The sequence below is a fragment of the Homo sapiens genome, chromosome 15 (assembly GCF_000001405.40).
Source record: "Homo sapiens chromosome 15, GRCh38.p14 Primary Assembly".
NCBI lineage: Eukaryota > Metazoa > Chordata > Mammalia > Primates > Hominidae > Homo > Homo sapiens.
In genome coordinates this window covers 36,624,187-36,643,995 of record NC_000015.10, presented here as the reverse complement: position 1 = coordinate 36,643,995, position 19,809 = coordinate 36,624,187, and the positions used below count along the sequence as shown (strand labels likewise).

Below are 19,809 nucleotides of genomic sequence, written 5' to 3'. Positions count from 1 at the left end.
AATGCAATGGTGTTAAAAGGGACCACAAGAAAGCAAGGCTTATCTCCATTAATAAGTGACACAGTTCAGTCTCATAAACAGTAGAGAACATGCACTTCATTCATTGAGAATGTTCTGAAATTAATTTTGTTAGCAGACAGGTATTCTCCTCTACAGGTATCCCAGTTTCAGGGAGAAAACTTTGGTCTTTACTAGAAGTAGCACAGTGGTCACTGGAACATTCCCACCGATACTGGCGTGCTATGAAAATACAAGCTTTCACAGCAGGAAGCAGAGGTCCTTGGAGTGAATCATTCCTAAAGACTGCCCTAAGCCTTATTCGTCTAAGACAACACACAATGTCAAACACCTGGCAATGAAGCAACCTGAAAAATGTTCTTCCCAAGTGGGAATTTTCCTTTTGCAATTGTTAACATTTAGAAGTGGAATGGAATTTTTCTTTCTCTAAAAAGCAATCAATACCCCACTGCTACTCTTTTCGACTGTCCTTTACAGACACGTCTAACTTATCGTATCTTGAAAACAATTATTTCTATTTTCCTACTAAATGCTATCTGACTAGATTACATTTTAGATAATTCGACTTTTATAGTATGCCAAAATACTGTGAATACATTTTTTTCTATTTATAAATGAAAAAATCTCTTAAGCTCATCACAGGTAATTTGGGGAATGTGAAATAAAGTGACACCATATTTGTTTACTCATTGTCTAGGTGTCGTCATCTTCTGGATGACATTACAAATTTGGTTTCTAACTTTCCACCCTTACCAAATTACAAGAGTAGGTTAAGAAAAAAATACCCTAAATGTTTGCCAAGGAAACTGATACATTATTAAAAGAATATTTCAATAACTCAAAAATGCAGAGAAATGATTAAATACAATAATAAATCCATTATAGTCTGTTTTTTTCAATTTCCCTTTAAAACTGAAAAGCCCCTTTGAAAGAGCCAATTTTATATAAAATCTTCCTATTTTGCCTGGCTTGACCGAGCTTAACATCCAAATCACATACCCTAGTAGGGTTGCTGACAATAATCTTCTGGGGTGGGAGGGAGGCAAAATGAAGCCCAAATCTTTGTAAACCCTTAATAAATTAATGTTAGATATTTATGTGCCATAAATAGACCCCCTCCTCACTGTATAGCAACCATGTATATTATTAACCATCTAATGGTACACAACATGTCATTCTTTGTGCTTCAAAAAAGATGATAGAAATAAATGTATTTGTAATGAGAAAGTTAGGGACCAATGACCAATGAAAAGAAAACTAAACTGTAAATAAAACATAACATAACTGTAGATGCCCAGAATGGGAAGAGGCAGTTGGAGAAATAAGTTCAAGAATAAATAGTTCAAAATGAGAAGTTGGTCAGGAGTTGAGAGTACTGTATAAGCCAAGGATAGAAAAACGTCTTTAGCTAGAAAAATGTCTTCAAACTGCTTAGAATTCAATTCAGCTAAAACCATGGACAGAGCCTGTGAAGCAACTCAGTTTTCTATGGCCGAGAGGGTTAGAGTGATTTTTGCCAGCTTACACTGGGGGTAAAAACTGGCTAGAACTATTAATAAAAAGAGAAAACCACTTACGTATACATAGTAACAACAGAAAGACAGATTCGGGTCCACAATGTTTTGGTTTTGTTTAACTAATTCAAAGCTGTAGAGAATAAAGTGAACTTTGCTAGGTAGTCTGCCAGCCAACTATCTGTTTCTGTATGTGCTAACCTTATAGAAGAGTGTTCTGACCAAATGTCACACCATAAGGAGCAGGAAAGTAGTTTTAGTACAACCAAGACATTGACTTCAGTGTATATTATTTGTACTTTCTTCCAACGTGTTAATGCTGAGAAGGGACACCGGAGGGAAATACTGGGCAGGTGGGGAGAGGATCAGAGTCCCATGATCTCAAGGCTATCGTTTTTAGGAACTCACCACCTCTACCCTGCGCCCACTGTACTGTCCCACCGTGTTTGATCTGTTTCGGCCAAAGGGAACAGAAGTTACAGAATAAATTCAACTTTCACTAGGTTCACAAGAAATGTGGTTGCCAGCTAAAGAGGAGAGGAGAAAGATTCTGTGCAACTGAAAGGTCTACCTTAAACATCACAGTCCAACATTCAACAGTACCACAGTGCATCTACAATGTCCCAAGGTAACACGTATGGGAAAATATGCCATCAGAATCAAAAAACTAAACAAGGTGGACGGGAGTTGATTTAGAAGAAACTTTCAAGTACGCACACAAAAGTACACACATAAAAAAGGCAAAAAATCAGAACACTGTCAAGTACTCACATTTTTTTTATACAGAATGAAGTAAATCATACCCTGAATCTTTACACTTTATATCACTTAGCATATATGGGGTTTTAAATTTACATAATCAAAAAGGCAGTCATTTAATTTGTACCAAATACCCAGGATGTAGTATTAAAACCCCATCAAAACGGTTTTGCTTGTATTTTTCCCATGCTATCTCCCAGCTTTAGCTCCGCACCCTACAGCTGTCTGGGTAAAGGAGAGCATGTGAGTGGACCCAAAGAATGGCTAGGTAAAGCCCTGTCCAAGTCTAGAACAGCAACAGCCATGCTGCAGCAATGTGGAAACAGACCTGAAGAAAAAACTAGCACTGTGAGGATGGCAGACGGAAGATGGAAAGAGCTTGGGTCCTTGAGGACACTGTGGAACTGCTGAAGAGACCATGGAATTGAGCTGACCAGCCTCCATTCTTATTCTGTGTAATTATACATGTCTATTTTTTTAAATCTCCAAACCAAAGAAATAAAACTCTTCCCAGGCTTCTGTGTTCTCTAGTAAGGTGGAGGCATGATGAAGGGCTTTGAGACAAGGTGCTCCATAATGGTGGCACATGTACAAGATGGAACACTTGAGAGGGATTGTCCATTTCCATAATTTCTAGTTCTCCCCTTAGCTGATGGCTATAATTGGCTTCCCTAAAATTTTTCCTCTGTCTGTGCCTGACTCACTAAATTGACGTGCCTAGAGATCCTAAACTGGTGTGTGATTTTCCCATATAGAGTTTAAACATTAACGGGGTACTATTTCTTCTCATGTTATATTGCATTCAACGTTTTTCAAATGCCTGATATAAAAACAGGCAACAAACTAGTTCCTCATGTGATATTTAACTAAATGTGCTCCCAAGTCCACCCAGCTAAGATACTCGGTAACATGAAAGAGCCTCAAAGAGTTGGGAGAGTGTAGCACAGATTAAGAGGAGAGCTGAGCACAGACTTAATTGCAATGCAACATTCATGCAAGGGTAAGGTCCTTATGTTTTCAGATGGACAGCTAAAGCATGCAGAACCTTAAGAGAAGACATCACGTATTTTATGTTCCTCCTCTTCTTGAGTATGCAATCTCTGAAAAAGACCACAAGGAAGTAAATACCTTTACCTTAAAGCTCCTTTTCTATAGAATCTAGGAAGCTTAAATGTGTACACTCTACTGGGCTCAACATTCTCTGAGAAAAATAAATATTATTTCTGGAGCTTGGGAAGAAGCAAACCAATTAAAGAAAGATAAAGCAGGATACTCCTACAAAGCATTATACTTGGATATACTTGGACATCTCACAATTGCTAGGCACAACCTCTCTAAACCTGTGAAGAATACAATGGAACACCAGCTGTCTGTAGTTAATGATTCAGAGTGCTGGTCAAGGCGTATTTTCTATAAAAGCAATGCAGCTACAATCTCTTGACCTCCCCCAACGCCCCCTGCCACACACACACATACCACACACAAATTTGAAATGTAGAGCCATTTTTCTCTCTAAAATTAAAACAGAATTCAACAATACTACACAAACTTTGATATAATACTACTACAAACTTTGCTTATTTTTTAGGAACAAAATGCAAAATGGAAATCTGGAGGGAGATTACTGATACACTGGGAAATTACTGAGGGGGGAAAAGGGAAAAATCTGTAAACTAAATTCAAGACATAAAGAAAAATGTATCCATCCTATCTCCCACCCTATGTCTTCTCTTCCTAATTTCCAACTGCATATCAAGGATGCAAACATTTTATGCCTAACCACAGCAAATATCCCCATAAATGATTAGGTAGATGGCAACATTAAGCTTAGTAGTAATCAACTATAAAAAAAAAGTTCTTAATAACTATAGGTCAAATATATAATTGAACGTCAGTATCTGTTGGGGGGACTGGTTTCCGGACCCTCATGGAAATCAAAATCTGTGGATGTTCAAGTCACTTACATAAAATGGCACAGTATTGCATATAACCCATGCACATTCTCTGGTATAATTTAAATCATCTCTTGATTACTGATAATACCTACTACAGTGTAAATGCTGTGTAAACAGTTGTGAATACTGTATTGTGTTTTTTTGAGGGGGGCAGTTTTTTTTGAGACAGAGTCTCGCTCTGTCACCCAGGATGGAGTACAGTGGCGCAGTCTCGGCTCACTGCAACCTCCGCCTCCTGGTTCAAGCTATTGTCCTGTCTCAGCCTCCAGAATAGCTGCCACCACGCCCGGCTAATTTTTGTATTTTTAGTAGAGACAGGGTTTCACCATGTTGGCCAGGCTGGTCTTGAATTCCTGACCTCAAGTGATCCCCCACCTTGGCCTCCCAAAATGCCGGGATTGCAGGCGTGAGCCACCACGCTGGGCCTGGTTTTTTATTTTTATTATTTTTTGTTGTTGTAGTGTTACTTTTATTGCTTTTTTTTTCCCCAAATATTTTCAATCCATTGTTAGCTGAATATGCCAATGTGGAACCCATGGATACAGAGGGTGAGCTGTATATATATGAAAAAAGTGGTTACTGCCCCAGGCTTTCAACTACTTTTGCTGGGAAACTGAAGATAAATCCAAACGGCTCTATAACTACCTTTGCACTTAATTTTATCCCCACAACAATCTTCTGAGGTAGGTACTGCTATCCTCCTTATTTTAGAGATGGGGAAATGAAGGAAGAGAAGTTAAGTAAAATACATAATTAAACAGCTAGAAGAACAGTAGACCTGGGAATCAAAATTTATATCCAATTCCAGAGCCCAAAGTCTTAATCCCAATGCTAATCTGCCTTCTTAACAGTTCCCAGAAATGAGTTCTGCAAATCATGTATGCTAATATCCCTGCTTAAGCATTTATATGATGTGACATTATACTCCAAACAACCCTGAAATGTGGGGCATGTGGCTTTTTTGCTAGAAAATTGAAGGCACAGGAGGTCAAGTGTTTTGACCAAATTCCATGGCTTTAGACATTATTTCCTTTTTAAGAAATCAAATTGCAGTTTTTCTTTAACTTCATAAAAAATGTTGTTCTTTTATGTTTTTAAAGATAAAGGAACTACTGACTGCAGAAAACAGTCAAGGATTAAAAGACTGTGTGGTAATTTCCATTATTCTCCCTGCAGCAAAGGTATATTTTAACCACCACTATTGCCTGAAGTGTCTCTATCTGATTGCATATGTCTTCTGCTCAAATGTTATTCACTTCATATTAAATATAAAGCAGCTTTAAATTTGTTCCTGAACCAGGCAGGCAAATATAAATAATCCAATCATCTTCTCTATAGAGGATGCCGGGGCCCTCTGTAAGTGTTAATTTTATAAAACAATATTCAATGAAGAGTTTCCTAGTTATCCAATGGTGCATCTTCTGCGTAAAATTCAGATGTCCACTCTTAGAATTCATTCTGGACTATAATTTTCCTGTGTTTTTGCTCTATGTCTGATGTGTATGAATCTGTTTGTGTGTATCTATATACACACACATATACATTTAAAAATTGTGTGTTAAACATACTTTTTTATAACATGCTTTCATTATATAAGATACTAACATTTATCCATGTCATTATATATTCCTTTTTAAAAATTATTTTTATTGGAAATAAAACACAAAAACCCACGTGGAACAAATGCACAGCCCAAAGAATATTTTTTTAAAAAAATATAACCACTTAGGTTAACAAACAGAACACTGCCAGCACCCCAAAAGATAACGCATCCAATCACTACCCTCCTTCCCTCTCACAAATGAGCCACTTCTGATCTTTCCTAGTTTTTCTTGATAGTTTTACCACCCAAATATGTCCCTTAGGTTCTACAGGTTAGTTTTGCCTGTCTGTAAACTTCATATTAAGTAGATTACACAGCATGCACTCTGCATCTGGCTTCTTTCACTCACCAATATGTCTGTGAGAGTTAGCCATGTTAATTTAAGTGTAGTTAATTCATTTTCATCACTTATATTCTATCGAATGAGTATACGCCAAATTTATCTATTCTATTGTTGAATATTACTACTGTGGACTCACTCCTGGGTGAGTCTCTTGGTGTACATTCACACGCATTTCTGATGGGTATAAATGCAGGAGAAGAATTCTGGGCCATCTGACATGCACCTCTCCACTTCAGCAGATACTGTCAAACAATTTTTCAAGTGTTTGTAACGACTTTAAACTCCCACCAACACTACAGAAGAGTTCCCATTGCTGTACATCCTCATCACACTTTCTCTCAATCCATGGCTTGCCTTTTCATTTTCCTTGTGGTACCTTTTGAAGTACAAAAGTTTTTTCAGTTGATGAAGTCCAATTTATTCTTTTATTTTGTTTTAGTACTTTTTGTGTCTTGTCTAAGAAATTTTTGCCTACCCACATTCATGCAGATATTTTCATATATTTTTCTAGAAGATTAATAGTTTCGGCTTTTACGTTTAGGTGTATGATTTACCTTCAATTAATTTTGTGTGTTAAGGAGGGGATCACAGTTTGTTTTTATTATTTCCATACAATTATAAAATTGATCACACACGTTGGTGCCTCTGGGAGGTTAAATATCTGAGAATCTATTTTGGGACTTTCTAATCTGTTCCACTGAGTTGTATGTTTATCTTTACATAGGTACCACACCATTTTGATGACTGTAGCTAAACCAGGTACATTCAATGTAAGTACTGATATATTCAGGTTTAAATCTATCATCTCACTAAATGCTATTGTCTTACCCACTATATGTAATGTTTCTCTCCATTCTTGCGTACTTTTCAATTGATTCAATGTTTATTCACTACTTTTCCTCTTGCAACTTAAAAGTTACATACTCTTTTACTATTCTTTTAATAATCACTCTAGAAAACCATGCTGCCTCCTCAATGTATCAAAATTTATTATTGATTGGTGATTTATTGCTTTCTGGAAAATATAAAAACACTACAACATTATTGAAAGGTCCCCTTCCTGGAATGTAGGATATTACTGAAATTGTCTTAAGTCTGTATATTTCTTAAATCTCAAAAGACACTGCTACTGTTGCATATATCTCTGCTTACTCAGATTTACCCACAGATGTGCCATCTCATTGTTCTTCATTCCTTCCTTTCCACTCTTTCATCTCCGTTACGTTCTTTTGTTTTTTTTGTTTTTGTTTTTGAGATGGAGTCTTGCTCTGTCGCTCAGGCTGGAGCACAGTGGCACCATCTCGGCTCACTGCAAGCTCTGCCTCCCAGGTTCATGACATTCTCCTGCCTCAGCCTCCAGAGTAGCTGGGACTACAGGCGCCTGCCACCACAAACGGCTAATTTTTTGTATTTTTAGTAGAGATGGGGTTTCACCATGTTAGCCAGGATGGTCTCGATCTCCTGACCTCATGATCCTCCCACCTTGGCCTCCCAAAGTGCTGGGATTACAGGCGTGAGCCACCGCGCCTGGCCCATTACCTTCTTTTAATAACTCCATCAGTGCAGATTTGTTGATGATGTCAGGTAACAGTCAAATTGTGGCTCTTTGTAATGACAATCTGTCTCATTCCTCTATCTGGCTTTAATATTTTCTTTTAACTTTGCTTTTTATGAGTTTCAACTATAAAATCCTGCCTAGAATTTGTTGGACTTCAATATGTGACTGCGTACCTTTCATCATTTTGGGAATATGCTCGATCATAATTTCTTCAACATTGCTTTTGCATTCAAGCTCCTCCCCGAGACTCCCAATGAACCTGTCAGCCTTCTCTACTGTATCCTCTGTTTCTTAGTTTCTCTTCATATGTTCCACCCTTTTGTTATTGTATGTTACATTCCGGTATTTTCTTGTGACCCACCTTCCAGTGCACTAATCCTCTCTTCAGTAATGTCTAATTTACTGTTAAATTGATGCACTGAGTTAAATCCATCCAATATTGGTTGCTGTATTTTTCAGTTCTAAATTTTCTATTTGATTCTTCTTCATATAAGTTCCCTGCAGAATGTTTTAATTTCTTTTATAACTCCCCGAACAAAGTTTAATTCTAGTAATTCTGTTTGGTAATTCCAATAACTGGATCTCCTTTGAGTCTAGTACTATAGCCTTTACTGGCTCTCATTCTTGTTGTCATGTGTCCTTATGCAACTGAGTATCTCTCATTATGTGTCATACTAGAGTCGTCCTTTGGTACACACAGGGGATTGATTCTAGGACCCCCAAGGATACCCCAAATTTGTGTATACTCAAGTCTCAAAGTCAGCCCTGCAGGACTCATGTATACAAAAAGTTGGTCCTCTAGATATGCAGGTTTCACGTCTTGCAAATACCATATTTTCAATCTAAGTTTAGTTGAAAAAAAATCCACATATAAATGGACTCACACAGTTCAAACCCATGTTGTTCAAGGGTCAATTGCATTTGAAAAACTATCTCATAAAAAATCTAAAGGCTGAAATGATGTTTTCTCCAGACAGAATTCTGACTTGATACTGGGAGTACCAGGAGTCTAGGATCACCTTAGTCAATTTCAGGTATTAATTTTTGGTGCCAATCAGATAAATCTGAAACTGTCAGGGGGAGATCTTTCAATTTCAGTTCACACTTACTCCTAGGGTATAGTCTGTTAGAGGCCCCCTGCCCCCAAAGCTTGGGATATTTATAAGAGTTCTCATCTTTGGCAAGCCCTCATCTCTAAACTTTGTCCTCTAGCCCTATAAAGCTGTCAAAAGTTCTGCTCAGGACTTGACTAGACTGCATCAAATCAAATAGTAATTAAATTAGAATTCAAAATTAAAAACATAGTCCTCCAAAAAATTTTCAGAAATTAAAAAACACATTCCTATGTTACTCATAGATGAAAGAGGAAGTGATGGAAAAAACAAAAATGCATAAAATTGAGCAATGGTGGTATGTATCAAAATTTGTGAGAACTTTGTATCATTAACTGGACTTTAGGAAAAAAGGCGAAAGGAACTGGTTTTACTGTAGGAGGTCTTAGCAGATTACGTATCCTACCACACAAAAGAAAATAGGAAACGAAATAAGAGCATCAAGAAGGAATACAACAAACAAACCCTCCTTATTTGCAGATGAGATGGCTTTCTACATAAAAACAGCAAGATCTACAAACAAGGTATAAAACTAGTATCTCAGAAAGGTAACTGGAGACAAGATTAATATAAATAAGAATTCTTATAAATCAGTACTATCCAATGAGAGAATGGAATAGAAAAATAGCTATCATTCACAATCAAAGGCCATAAAGTATTTAGAAATGTGTTTTTAAAAAATATATAAAACTTTTTGTTGTTGTTGTTGTTGAGACGGAGTCTTGCTCTCTCTGCAGGCTGGGGTGCAGTGGCGCGATCAAGGCTCACTGCAACCTCTGACTCCCTGGTTCAAGGGATTCTCCTGCCTCCCAAATAGCTGGGGTTTCAGGCATGCACCACCACGCCTGACTAATTTTTTGTATTTTTAGTGGAGACGGGGTTTCACCATGTTGGCCAGGATGGTCTCGATCTCCTGATCTTGTGATCCACCTGCCTCAGCCTCCCAAAGTGCTGCGATTACAGGCGTGAGTCACCACACCCAGCCAAAAGTTTTGAAGAAAGTTATAAAACATTACTGAAGAGCATAAAAGACTTTTTGACTAAACACAGAATTGTGACATTTTTATAAAGTATCATGGGTGGGTTGGGCATGGTGGCTCACACCTGTAATCCCAGCACTTTGGGAGGCCGAGGCGAGCAGATCACTTGAGGCCCAGAGTTCGAGACCAGCCTGGGTAACACAGTGGTCTCTGCTAAAAATAGAAAAAATAATCTGGGCATCATGGCGCATGCCTGTAGTCCCAGCTACTCGGGAGGCTGAGATGGCAGAATTGCTTGAACCCGGGAGACAGAGGTTGCTGTTAGCTAAGATCCCACCACTGCAATCCAGCCTGGGTGACAGAGTGAGACTCTGTCTCAGGAAAGAAAAAAAAAAAAAAAGTATCATGGGTGGAATGATAGTGTAAATAAAATTGTCAGTTCTCCACATATTAATCTATAATTTTAATAAAAATGCTACCAAAATCACAACAGAGTCTTCCGGTAGGACATAATAAATGTATGTTAAAATTCAAGAAGAATACATAAGAATAGCTAACAAATTCTGGAAAGCAATAACAAGTGGGGAACTTATGCTAACCAGGTATCAGCATAGATAAATGTCAAAAAATGTAGTGTTTACCCAAAAAAAGCACATTATAGAATTACATTCACATTTAACACCATTTATATAAAGTATCAAACAGCAAAATATAATGCCCTATTTTTTGTGAATATATATATGGATGTGGTAAAAGAAATATGAGACTGATAAGCACTAAACTCAAGAAAAGAGTTACCTCAGGTGACAGAGAAGAGGAAAGAAATCACAGAGAAGTACATTCAATCATACCTACAACAGTTCATCAAAAAACTAAAAATCAAAGTGAAAAGAAAACGTATAACAGTATTGGAATATGTCATTTGTGTAAAAGTAAAAAGCACCTGAAGCAAATATAAACAGATGTATATTCAAAGGGTTCATTTATCATTCTCTGTTCTTTTATATTTGTGCTATATTTTATAACAAAATTAATTAGGTAGGCAAAAAGAAAAGAAGGACAAAATTGAGGAGGAGTTGGATAAATTGATCTTTAAGATTCTTTTCTGCTCTAAGTCCCACCCTTTTCTAAATGTTCTGATTTAATGAGAGTCTTAAGTACCTATACTTCTTTCATTTCTAATTAAATTTAGGTATTAACTTTTTAGAACAAGTCGTAACATAAATCAGGTAAAGAATAAGAGGCTTGTGTGACACTTAATTTCACTTGCAAGACCAGGCTTCTGGCCATTTTTCTCTGAAGTAAACCTAATAACTTCAACACATTATATAAATAATAGATTTGTAAGAAATGTTTATCAGTCATCTTTTTAAATGTGGTCTCTTCAGTCTTCTCTTGCCCTACATGCTGCAGAGGGGAGAGAACCCTCTCCTTCCCCTCGGGAAATTCAATAATTAGAGTCTATAAAATAAACTGACAATTGATTAGCAGAAGAAAAGGTGTACACACTTATAACATGCATATGCATGGGGGATCCCACAAAGTGTGAGATGCAGAGAAACGCCAGATGGTTGAACTACGGTAGGGCAAGGGGAGGAACTGTACTATAAACAAAGATCATCTTATTATGCAGATAAAGTCTCTCAGGTGGCAGCCCTCAGAAGTACTGGTGAAAAGTCTGTCTGGGTGTGGTGTCCTGGGCATGAAGACCTGTCAGCCTCCTCTTCTGTGATATGAGTCATCTTCTCTGGTTAGTGTAGAATTCAGGGAAGTTATTCATGACAATCACATTCTTTCTGAAGGAACTTCCCTTAGTCAGATGAGAGAACTTCAGAGAAAGCTCCTCTCTGTGCTTCAGAGGGGTGGGAGACTAGGGAGCAGAATGTCCAAGAGACTGTAGTTTTGAGGCTACAAAGATGTAGAGAAATTGGAACCCTCATATATTGCTGGTGAGATTGCAAAATGGTGTAGCCGCTTTGGAAAACAGTTTGTTTCTCAACATACTAAATACAGAGTTATGGTTAGGCATGGTGGCTCACACCTGTGATCACAACATTCTGGGAGGCTGAGGCAGGAGAATCACTTGAGCTGAGGAGTTCAAGACCAGTCTAGGCAACCTAGTTAGACTCCATCTCTACAAAAAATTCCTTAAAAAGCTAGCTGGGCGTGGTGGTGCACGCCTGTAGTCCCAGCTAATTGGGAGGCTGAGGTGGGGAGATCACTTGAGCCCAGGAGTTCAGGGCTGCAGTGAGCTAGAACTGTGCCACTGCACTCCAGCCTGGGCAAGAGAACAAGACCCTGTCTCAAATAATATGAATAATAAATATACATAAATAAATTTTTAAAAAACACAGTTATCATATGACCCAGTAATTCTTCTCATAGGTTTATACCCAAGAGAACTAAAAACATGTTTCTAAACAAAAGTCTATACACAAATGCTCATAGCAACTTTATACATAATAGCTAAAAGGTAGAAACAACCCAAATGTCCATCAGCTGATGAATGGATCAATAAAATGTGATATACCCATTCAATGCAATATTATCCAGCAATAAGAAGAAATGAAGTACTGATATATGCTATGACTCAGATAAGTCTGTAAAATATATGAATGGAAACATCCAGTCACAAAGGCCACATCTTGTACGATTCTATTTGTATGAAATGTCTAGAATAGGAAAATCAATAGAAGTAGAAAGCAGATTAGTAGTTGTCAGGGACAAGGAGGGGAAAGATCGGGAGTGACTGATAATATGGGATTTCTTTTGGAGGTGATGAAAATGTTCTGACATTAGGCAGTGGTGACGGTTGTACAACTTCGTGAATATACTAAAAACCACTGAACTGTATATTTTTAAAGAGTGAAATTTATGGTACATAAATATCTCCATAAAGCCATTCTTAAAAAAATAGAAGATCAAAATTATGAACTTCTTTCCTTCTATGACTTCCATTTTTTCCATTATAAATACAAAATTTTAAATGTGACCTCACAACACTAAAAGGGATTATTTTTCCAGGTTATGTATCATTTCTCCTGATACGGGACCATTGTTCAGTCCTTCAAAATACTAGTTTTCTTTTGCAAATTTCTGGTAGGCATCCGCTATAGTTTGGTTTACTTGACCTCCTCCAAATCTCATGTTGAAGGTTGGTTACCGGTGTTGAAGGTGGGGCCTAATGGGAGATGTATGAGCCATGGAGGCAGATCCCTCATAAGTGGCTGGGTGAGTCTTCATATTAATGAGCTCTTGCTCTATTGGTTCTCTAAAGAGCTGGTTGTTAAAAAGAGCCTGGTATCTCCCTTCTTTCCTCTCTCTCCCCTCCTCCTCCTCTCTCACCATGTGGTCTCTGCACATATCAGCTCCCCTTTGCCTTCCACCATGAATAGAAGCTTCCTGAAGCCCTCACCAGAAGCAGAAGCCAGCACCCTGCTTCTTGTACAGCTTGTAGAACTGTGAGCCAAGTAAAGCTTTTTTCTTTATAACATACCCAGCCTCCGGTATTCCCTTCTAGCAGCAAAAACAGACTAAGACAACATCTTTATGTATTCCACAAATATGTATTAAACAATAGGGAGGGTGGCATCAACAGTTGTATTGTCAAGGGAGCACCAATAGGGAATATTGTCTTTATTCTTGAAGTGCTTAAAATCTAATTGGAAAAATCACTTAATATTTGTAGGTCTCAATTCCACCGTCTGTAAACTGATTGGTAACTTCTTTAGAATCCGGTTCATCTTAAAAGTTCTATGATTTTATCAGTTCTGCAAATCTAAGAGTTAAATTTGTTAAATTTCTCTCTACTTACAGCCCTAAGATGTTTAAGTAGAGTTTTATCAAAAAACTGCGCCTTGGTCCTAATAATAATAACCCATAATCATATTGACACTGGACATTTTTATGTGGGCCTACTGTAGCAGTTCTATTCTAGGTCAATAGCTACAGTGATTAAATTGTCTCTGAAGACCTCTAGGCCTTTAAAGTAATCAAACCACAGAGTGAGAAGATCAAGGAAAATAATTAACTTCTTTTATTCACCACTGATTGTAAGGTACCACTTCCTCCAACAGAGGTTAAATAACCATCTCGTGGTCTAACACAATTATTTCACTGCTGAAATTCCAGCCTCTCCTAAATTACCATATTTTCTGATATAAGACTTAATCCAGATATTTACTAAAAGAGCCGTCAGATCTTTACCTGAAAAGTTACCTAAAAAATAATATACATATATATGTATGCACATATACAAAATATTTAACCTCACAATTTCAATTCTTCACATATTTTCTTTAGGAGGTCCCTGGCTTAAACTTGGTTATCACAAGAAAATAGACAAGAAGGTTATGAAGACCTAGAAGCACCCGCCTCTCCTCACCAATTTGCAGTAACTTCAAATTCAATAATTTGTTTGGCTTTCAAGATTTTAATCATGGTAGCCTGATGCAGAGGAAAACAGAAGTGACTGGATTCTAGAAATAAATGTAGCTTTCAAAGGGCATTTGTCAAAAGGGTTTAGAATATAACATGAGACGTTAGAGAGTAATGGTATCAATTCTTACTCAAGTGACAAAATCACTTCTCTAACAAGCAATGTTCAGCATAATTTAGTAGGCACTAAATTATGATATTATTACCATGAGCGAGATAATTGTTAACCACTAACAAATAATCTTTCTACTCCATGGTATCCTTTTGCCTTTTCTTCCACGAAAGCCTTAGTCTTAAAAATAGCACCAAATAATATTGTAAGTTTTTCCTCAGTAATATTCAGTGCTAAAAAGATGATCAGTTCTGACCCACTTCAGATGGCTTCTTAAACCAACTACTTATCAAAATCAAACAAATTAATTTTACTTTCTCAAGACTTTATCTTAAAAATAAAAATTTACTAAACATCCTACCATGGTCACACACTTTAGTTTCCTATGGTTACTGTAACAAATTACCAAAAACTTGGTGGATTAAAATAACAGAAATTTATTCTCTCACAGTTCTGGAGGCCAGAAGTCCAAAACCCTTATCAGCAGGCCAAAATCAATGTCTTAGCAAGGCCATGCTCCCTCCAGAGGCTCTAGAGGAGAATCCATTTCTCATCTCTCTCAGCTTCTGGTAGCTGCCTGCATTCCTTAGCTTGTGGACACATCACTCCAATTTTCAAGATCAGCATCTTCAAATCTCTCTCTGCTTCATTTTCACATTGCCTTTTAGTATGTGTGGTAAAAACTTCCTCTACCTTGCTCTTCTCAGGATGCATGTAATTCCATTTAGGGCCCATCCTGGTATTCTAGGATAATCTCTCCATCTCAAGATCCTTAAGTTAATTACATCTGCAAAGACTCTAAGTCTATGTAAGGTAACATTTACAAGTTCCATGGCTTAGGACCTAATATCTTTAAGGGACTTACTTTTCGGCCACCACCATCCACCCTCTGGCCTTAAAGATTCATATCTGACCCACATGCCAGATACATTTGCCCCATCCCAGCATCCCCCAAAGTCCCAACTCATCACAGAATCAACTCAGGTTCAAAATGTCATCTAAATAAGCATCATCTCAAACTCCCAAATCTTACCTAAATTAGGTTTGAGTTAGATTATGGGGATGATCTATCCTGAGGCACTTCTAGATATTTACCACACAAAGCCCTACACACAAATTTTTATAGCAGCTTCATCTATATTGGAAAGAATATAAACAACCTTTAATAATGGATGAACAAACTGTGATACATCCATATAAAGGAATACTACTCTGCAACAATACAAGTAACAGCATGGAGAAATCACAAATGTGCTCTACTAAGTAAAAGAAGCCAAACTCAAAAGGCTATCTACCACATGATTCCATTTCTATGGCATTCTGGAAAAGGAAAAATAGAGCGACAGAAGGCAGATAAGTGATCCTTAGGCTCCAGGGCAGGGGGGAAAAACTGACCACAAAAGGGCTAACGGAATTTTTAGGGGATGATAAATATGTTCAACATCTTGACCATGGTGTTAGGTCCAACACATGGCTACACAACTCCATGTGTTTGTCAAAACTTGCAGAACTGTATAGAAAAGGAGGGAATTTAACTGTATGTAAGTCAAAAATAAATTTAATTAAAATTGGGAAAAAAAAATTTACAATGTTTCACACATTTACTGTAGCCAGTGTTCCATAAACCCATGCTGACCTGGTACTAAAAAAAAAAAAAAAAAATTACAGGCCTCCCACTTCTCCGGCAGGGGCAGCTGCTGAGCCAGGAGTCACTGGGCATGTGGGACCACCTCCCTGATGTGATGCAAGATGTGAACCTGGTGGGCCGCCCACTGACCTGTTGCTACAGTCCCTGAAGTGAGTCCCCAGGTTGGGCCTGCCAGGTCGGGCTGGCTGTGCCCTGGCCCTGGTGATGGTTGGTCCAGCTGGGGCAGCAGATATTAATGTGCCAGGCAGTGCTGGCAGGTGAAGCCCCGAGTGGACCCTGTAGATCGGATGGACCACGTGGAGTACCACTACAGCAAGGCCATGCCACTCATCTTCATGAGCAGTATGCTCTGCAGCGGCACCATGCTGATACTCACTGGGCTGGATGCCCACCTTGAGGTGCACCGCAGCAAGGAGACGCACATCATCCCTTGTGTGCTGGCCATGCACCAGGCCTGGTCCAAGTCTGGCCACAAGAAACTACAGCTGGACAAGGCGGGCGTGACTGACGAGGTGCTGGACATTGCCATGCAGGCCTTCATCCTGGAGGTGATCTCTAAGCAAAGGGAGCCAGCCCATGTGCTCTCCAACAAGGACCACTTCAGACTCAAGTCCTTGAATCACTGGTCTACCTGTCACACCTGTTCTCCAGCTCCAAGTTCCTGCTTATGGCTCAGGACAGCCATGTCTCCATGCACTCCTTGATCACATGCAAGGTCACTATTGCAAGGTCACTACCCAGGCTTCGACCTCAGCAGCTATGGCAACTGCCTCACCAAGTGGAACAAGGCCATAGAGGTGATGTACACCCAGTGCATGGAGGTGGGCAAGGACAAGTGCCTGCTCGTGTACTACAAGGAACTGGTGCTGTAGCCTAGGAGCTTCCTCAGACTCATCCCAGACCATCTCGGCATCACCTGGAGCAACACTGTCCTCCACCATCAAGACCTCACTGGCAAGTGGAATGGCATCTCCCTGTCTAAGATCCAGTGGTCCATGGATGAGGTCATCAAGCCTGTGAACCTGGAAGTGCTCTCCAAGTGGACTCACCACATCCCTGGGGACATGGTGCCAGACATGGCCCAGATTGTCCCATGCTGGCTCAGCTTAGCCATGACCCCTATGCAAATACCCTCCCCAACCCCCACTTCCACTATAGCAACCCTGACCCCCATCATCATCAGTAACGCACACCAAGTAAGGGACTATAAAACACCAGTCAATCTGAAAGGATATTTTCAGGTGAACCAGAATAGCACCTCCTCCCACTTAGGAAGCTCATGATTTCCAGATCTCTGCAAATGGCTTTGTTGCCCAAAAGAGAAGAAACTGCATTTAAGTGGAAGTTGGACCCCTTATCCAAGCATATTGCTTGCTATTAGTCGCCAAAACAGGATGGCTAATGAGGAATATATTTGCATATGTTTGCAAAACTGAATCATTGAAAACATACCTTGAAACTCTATCTTTGGATACCCTACGGTGGAAAGCAATGATTGTGGAACTCGTCTGGCTTTTGAAACTTAGGTATTTTATATTTTTCCCCTCGAGAACTATTTTTTTTTTTTTTAAGAAATGGATTTGCCATCCTCCTTAATTTGCAGGACTCCCTTTGTGGCTTTGTTTGCTGGAACAAGGCCCACAGACTGTGCTTCTCTTACAGATCCTTACTTTGAATTTTAAGAATCTACTTAAGAATTTAATATATAAGGCCTTCCCTGATTCCCCATCAGTTCTAGCTAGTTTTGAAGAGAAAAAAAAAATGATTTGAATAAAATGAACAGGGGCTTAAATAAACAAAAATTTAAAAATAAATTATATATATCACATAATATTTAATACATGCAATTTTAACATACATATCTAATTTTAATATATATTTAAATATATCCTGATGACAATAACAGAGATGTACCCAATACAAAATACATAATCTCTAAGAACATATAAACTATTTTTTGTAGAGTTCATCTTGAATAAATTTACTTACTATAATCTGATAAAAATGCTTAAATGTGAAATAAAAGGTAACAAAATAATCCAGTAATTAAATATTAAAATTAAGAAAATGACAACATTTCAACAAGAGAACAAATTTCTGTTGTTTAAGCTACCCAATCTATGGTATTTTGCTATGGCAGCCTGAGCACACTAAGGCACTGGGGATCCTTACGTAACAGGCCATACTGAGAGTTGATGATTAATTATTCCTCCAATATTCCCAGCTAGCTAACTAATTCTTCAAGATCCAGGACTGGGCCAGGCTCTCCCGAGTTCAACTCTGAGTCTCTTTCTTGAAAAGCAAGTTCTAAAAACTTCCACAGAAAACAAGTTTGTGGCTGCATCAGGTTAGCTACATATGTTGGGTTTTATGAAGTAATCTAATTTTACTCCAAGGTGTCGAATTTTTTCCCCTAAATTTCAAATATTTTCTGGTTTTGCTTATACAGAAAATATCATGAATGAATCTCTCTTATCAGAGAATTCTTCAATGTATGAAATCCTGCTAGAATACATAAGACATCCTACTAACTCTATGCAATCATAAGTGAATGAACATCTAGAGGTTAAATTTAATTCCGTGACCATAATGCTACTAGTCTATGTCTAATAAGCACAGTTACTTTCCAACCTTTTCACAGAGTAAAAAAGTTTAGAATACTTTTTTTTTTTTTTTGAGACAGGGTCTCGCTCTGTCGTCCAGGCTGGAGTGCAGTGGCGCAATCTCGGCTCACTACAAGCTCTGCCTCCCGGGTTCACACCATTCTCCTGCCTCAGCCTCCCAAGTAGCTGGGACTACAGGTGCCCGCCACCACACCCGGCTAATTTTTCTTTTGTATTTTTAGTAGAGACGGGGTTTCACTGTGTTAGCCAGGATGGTCTTAATCTCCTAACCTTGTGATCCGCCTGCCTCAGCCTCCCAAAGTGCTGGGATTACAGGTGTGAGCCACCACACCCAGCCTAATATACTTTTTAAAACCATTTAAATATTTCCTTATTCTTTTTCTGCACAAAAATATATGTTCTGCCCCCACTAATCTTTCTTAATTTAATAGGTCACAGAAACCTCATATAAAACCCGCAAAAATGACTGGTCACTTTCACTTTGTAATTCTTATAATTTATAAAAATTGTAGGTATAACTACCATCTTTACTACTTTCTTCCCAAATAAATTCTCAGTTATATTAAAATAATGGTATTAATAATCTCATACTTTTTCCCTGTCTTCTGCTTCTTACTCCCATCCCAACCCCCAATTACCAAGCTGATACTTTTAAGAATTTAACAAGGAAATGCAAAAACTTGCATAAAAGTACCTTCCTGAATATGCAGTTCCTTTAAACAATCTCAGTAGTACTCTCAGGAGGTCAAGCAAACTATTTGAAGCCTCAGTAGATGACATGTTTTCCTTGCTGTATTAGTTTGAAAAAACTATAGATTTTCAATCTTCTCTAAAAACAACATCATCATCATGATATGGACTATAATTATTCTACAACCACCCACTTTAATAATAAATGCTGGCAATGTTAAAACAACAAATGGAATGCCTTACAATGCATTAAGCTCTTCTCTTAATAAACACAAAATTCTAAGTCTTACCACAACCTTTTATTCTTGATTCACAATCAAATCCTTTTGTCAGTTATTCTCAGCACTTAATGTTATTCATTCCAATAAATCCAATCTTAGATGGCTACAAATGCCTTCCCTGTTTCTCTATGTGTCTTAAGAGAAACCAGAGGATGAGCAGAGATGGAGCTGTCAT

The 19,809-nt window shown here is 38.2% G+C and overlaps 1 protein-coding gene and 1 pseudogene across 19 annotated transcripts in view, besides 2 other annotated features; one reads left to right on the top strand and one right to left on the bottom strand.

The window, feature by feature from the left end:
* The window catches only part of CDIN1 (CDAN1 interacting nuclease 1), a 230,619-nt gene that overhangs the window by 166,249 nt on the left and 44,561 nt on the right, over nucleotides 1-19,809 (bottom strand). For 2 of the 19 annotated variants that reach the window (XM_047433174.1, NM_032499.6), the window contains exon 2: nucleotides 3,337-3,391. The exons of the other annotated variants lie outside the window; for them this stretch is intronic. The gene's annotated coding sequence lies outside the window, so the exon portion shown is untranslated. The remainder of the gene's footprint in view (nucleotides 1-3,336; nucleotides 3,392-19,809) is intronic. 19 annotated transcript variants of the gene reach the window in all.
* Nucleotides 134-428: a silencer, noted in NCBI's record as "tiled region #1254; HepG2 Repressive non-DNase unmatched - State 19:H4K20, and K562 Repressive non-DNase unmatched - State 24:Quies". NCBI's record gives its function as "represses a minimal TATA promoter and a strong SV40 promoter by Sharpr-MPRA in HepG2 and K562 cells {active_cell/tissue: HepG2 | K562}" and the evidence as "EXISTENCE:reporter gene assay evidence [ECO:0000049][PMID:27701403]".
* TPST2P1 (tyrosylprotein sulfotransferase 2 pseudogene 1) lies at nucleotides 16,220-17,319 on the top strand (annotated as a pseudogene).
* Nucleotides 16,363-16,864: an enhancer, noted in NCBI's record as "H3K4me1 hESC enhancer chr15:36919333-36919834 (GRCh37/hg19 assembly coordinates)". NCBI's record gives its function as "activates a minimal SCP1, AML or CMV promoter by ChIP-STARR-seq in primed H9 embryonic stem cells {active_cell/tissue: H9 hESC(primed)}" and the evidence as "EXISTENCE:reporter gene assay evidence [ECO:0000049][PMID:30033119]".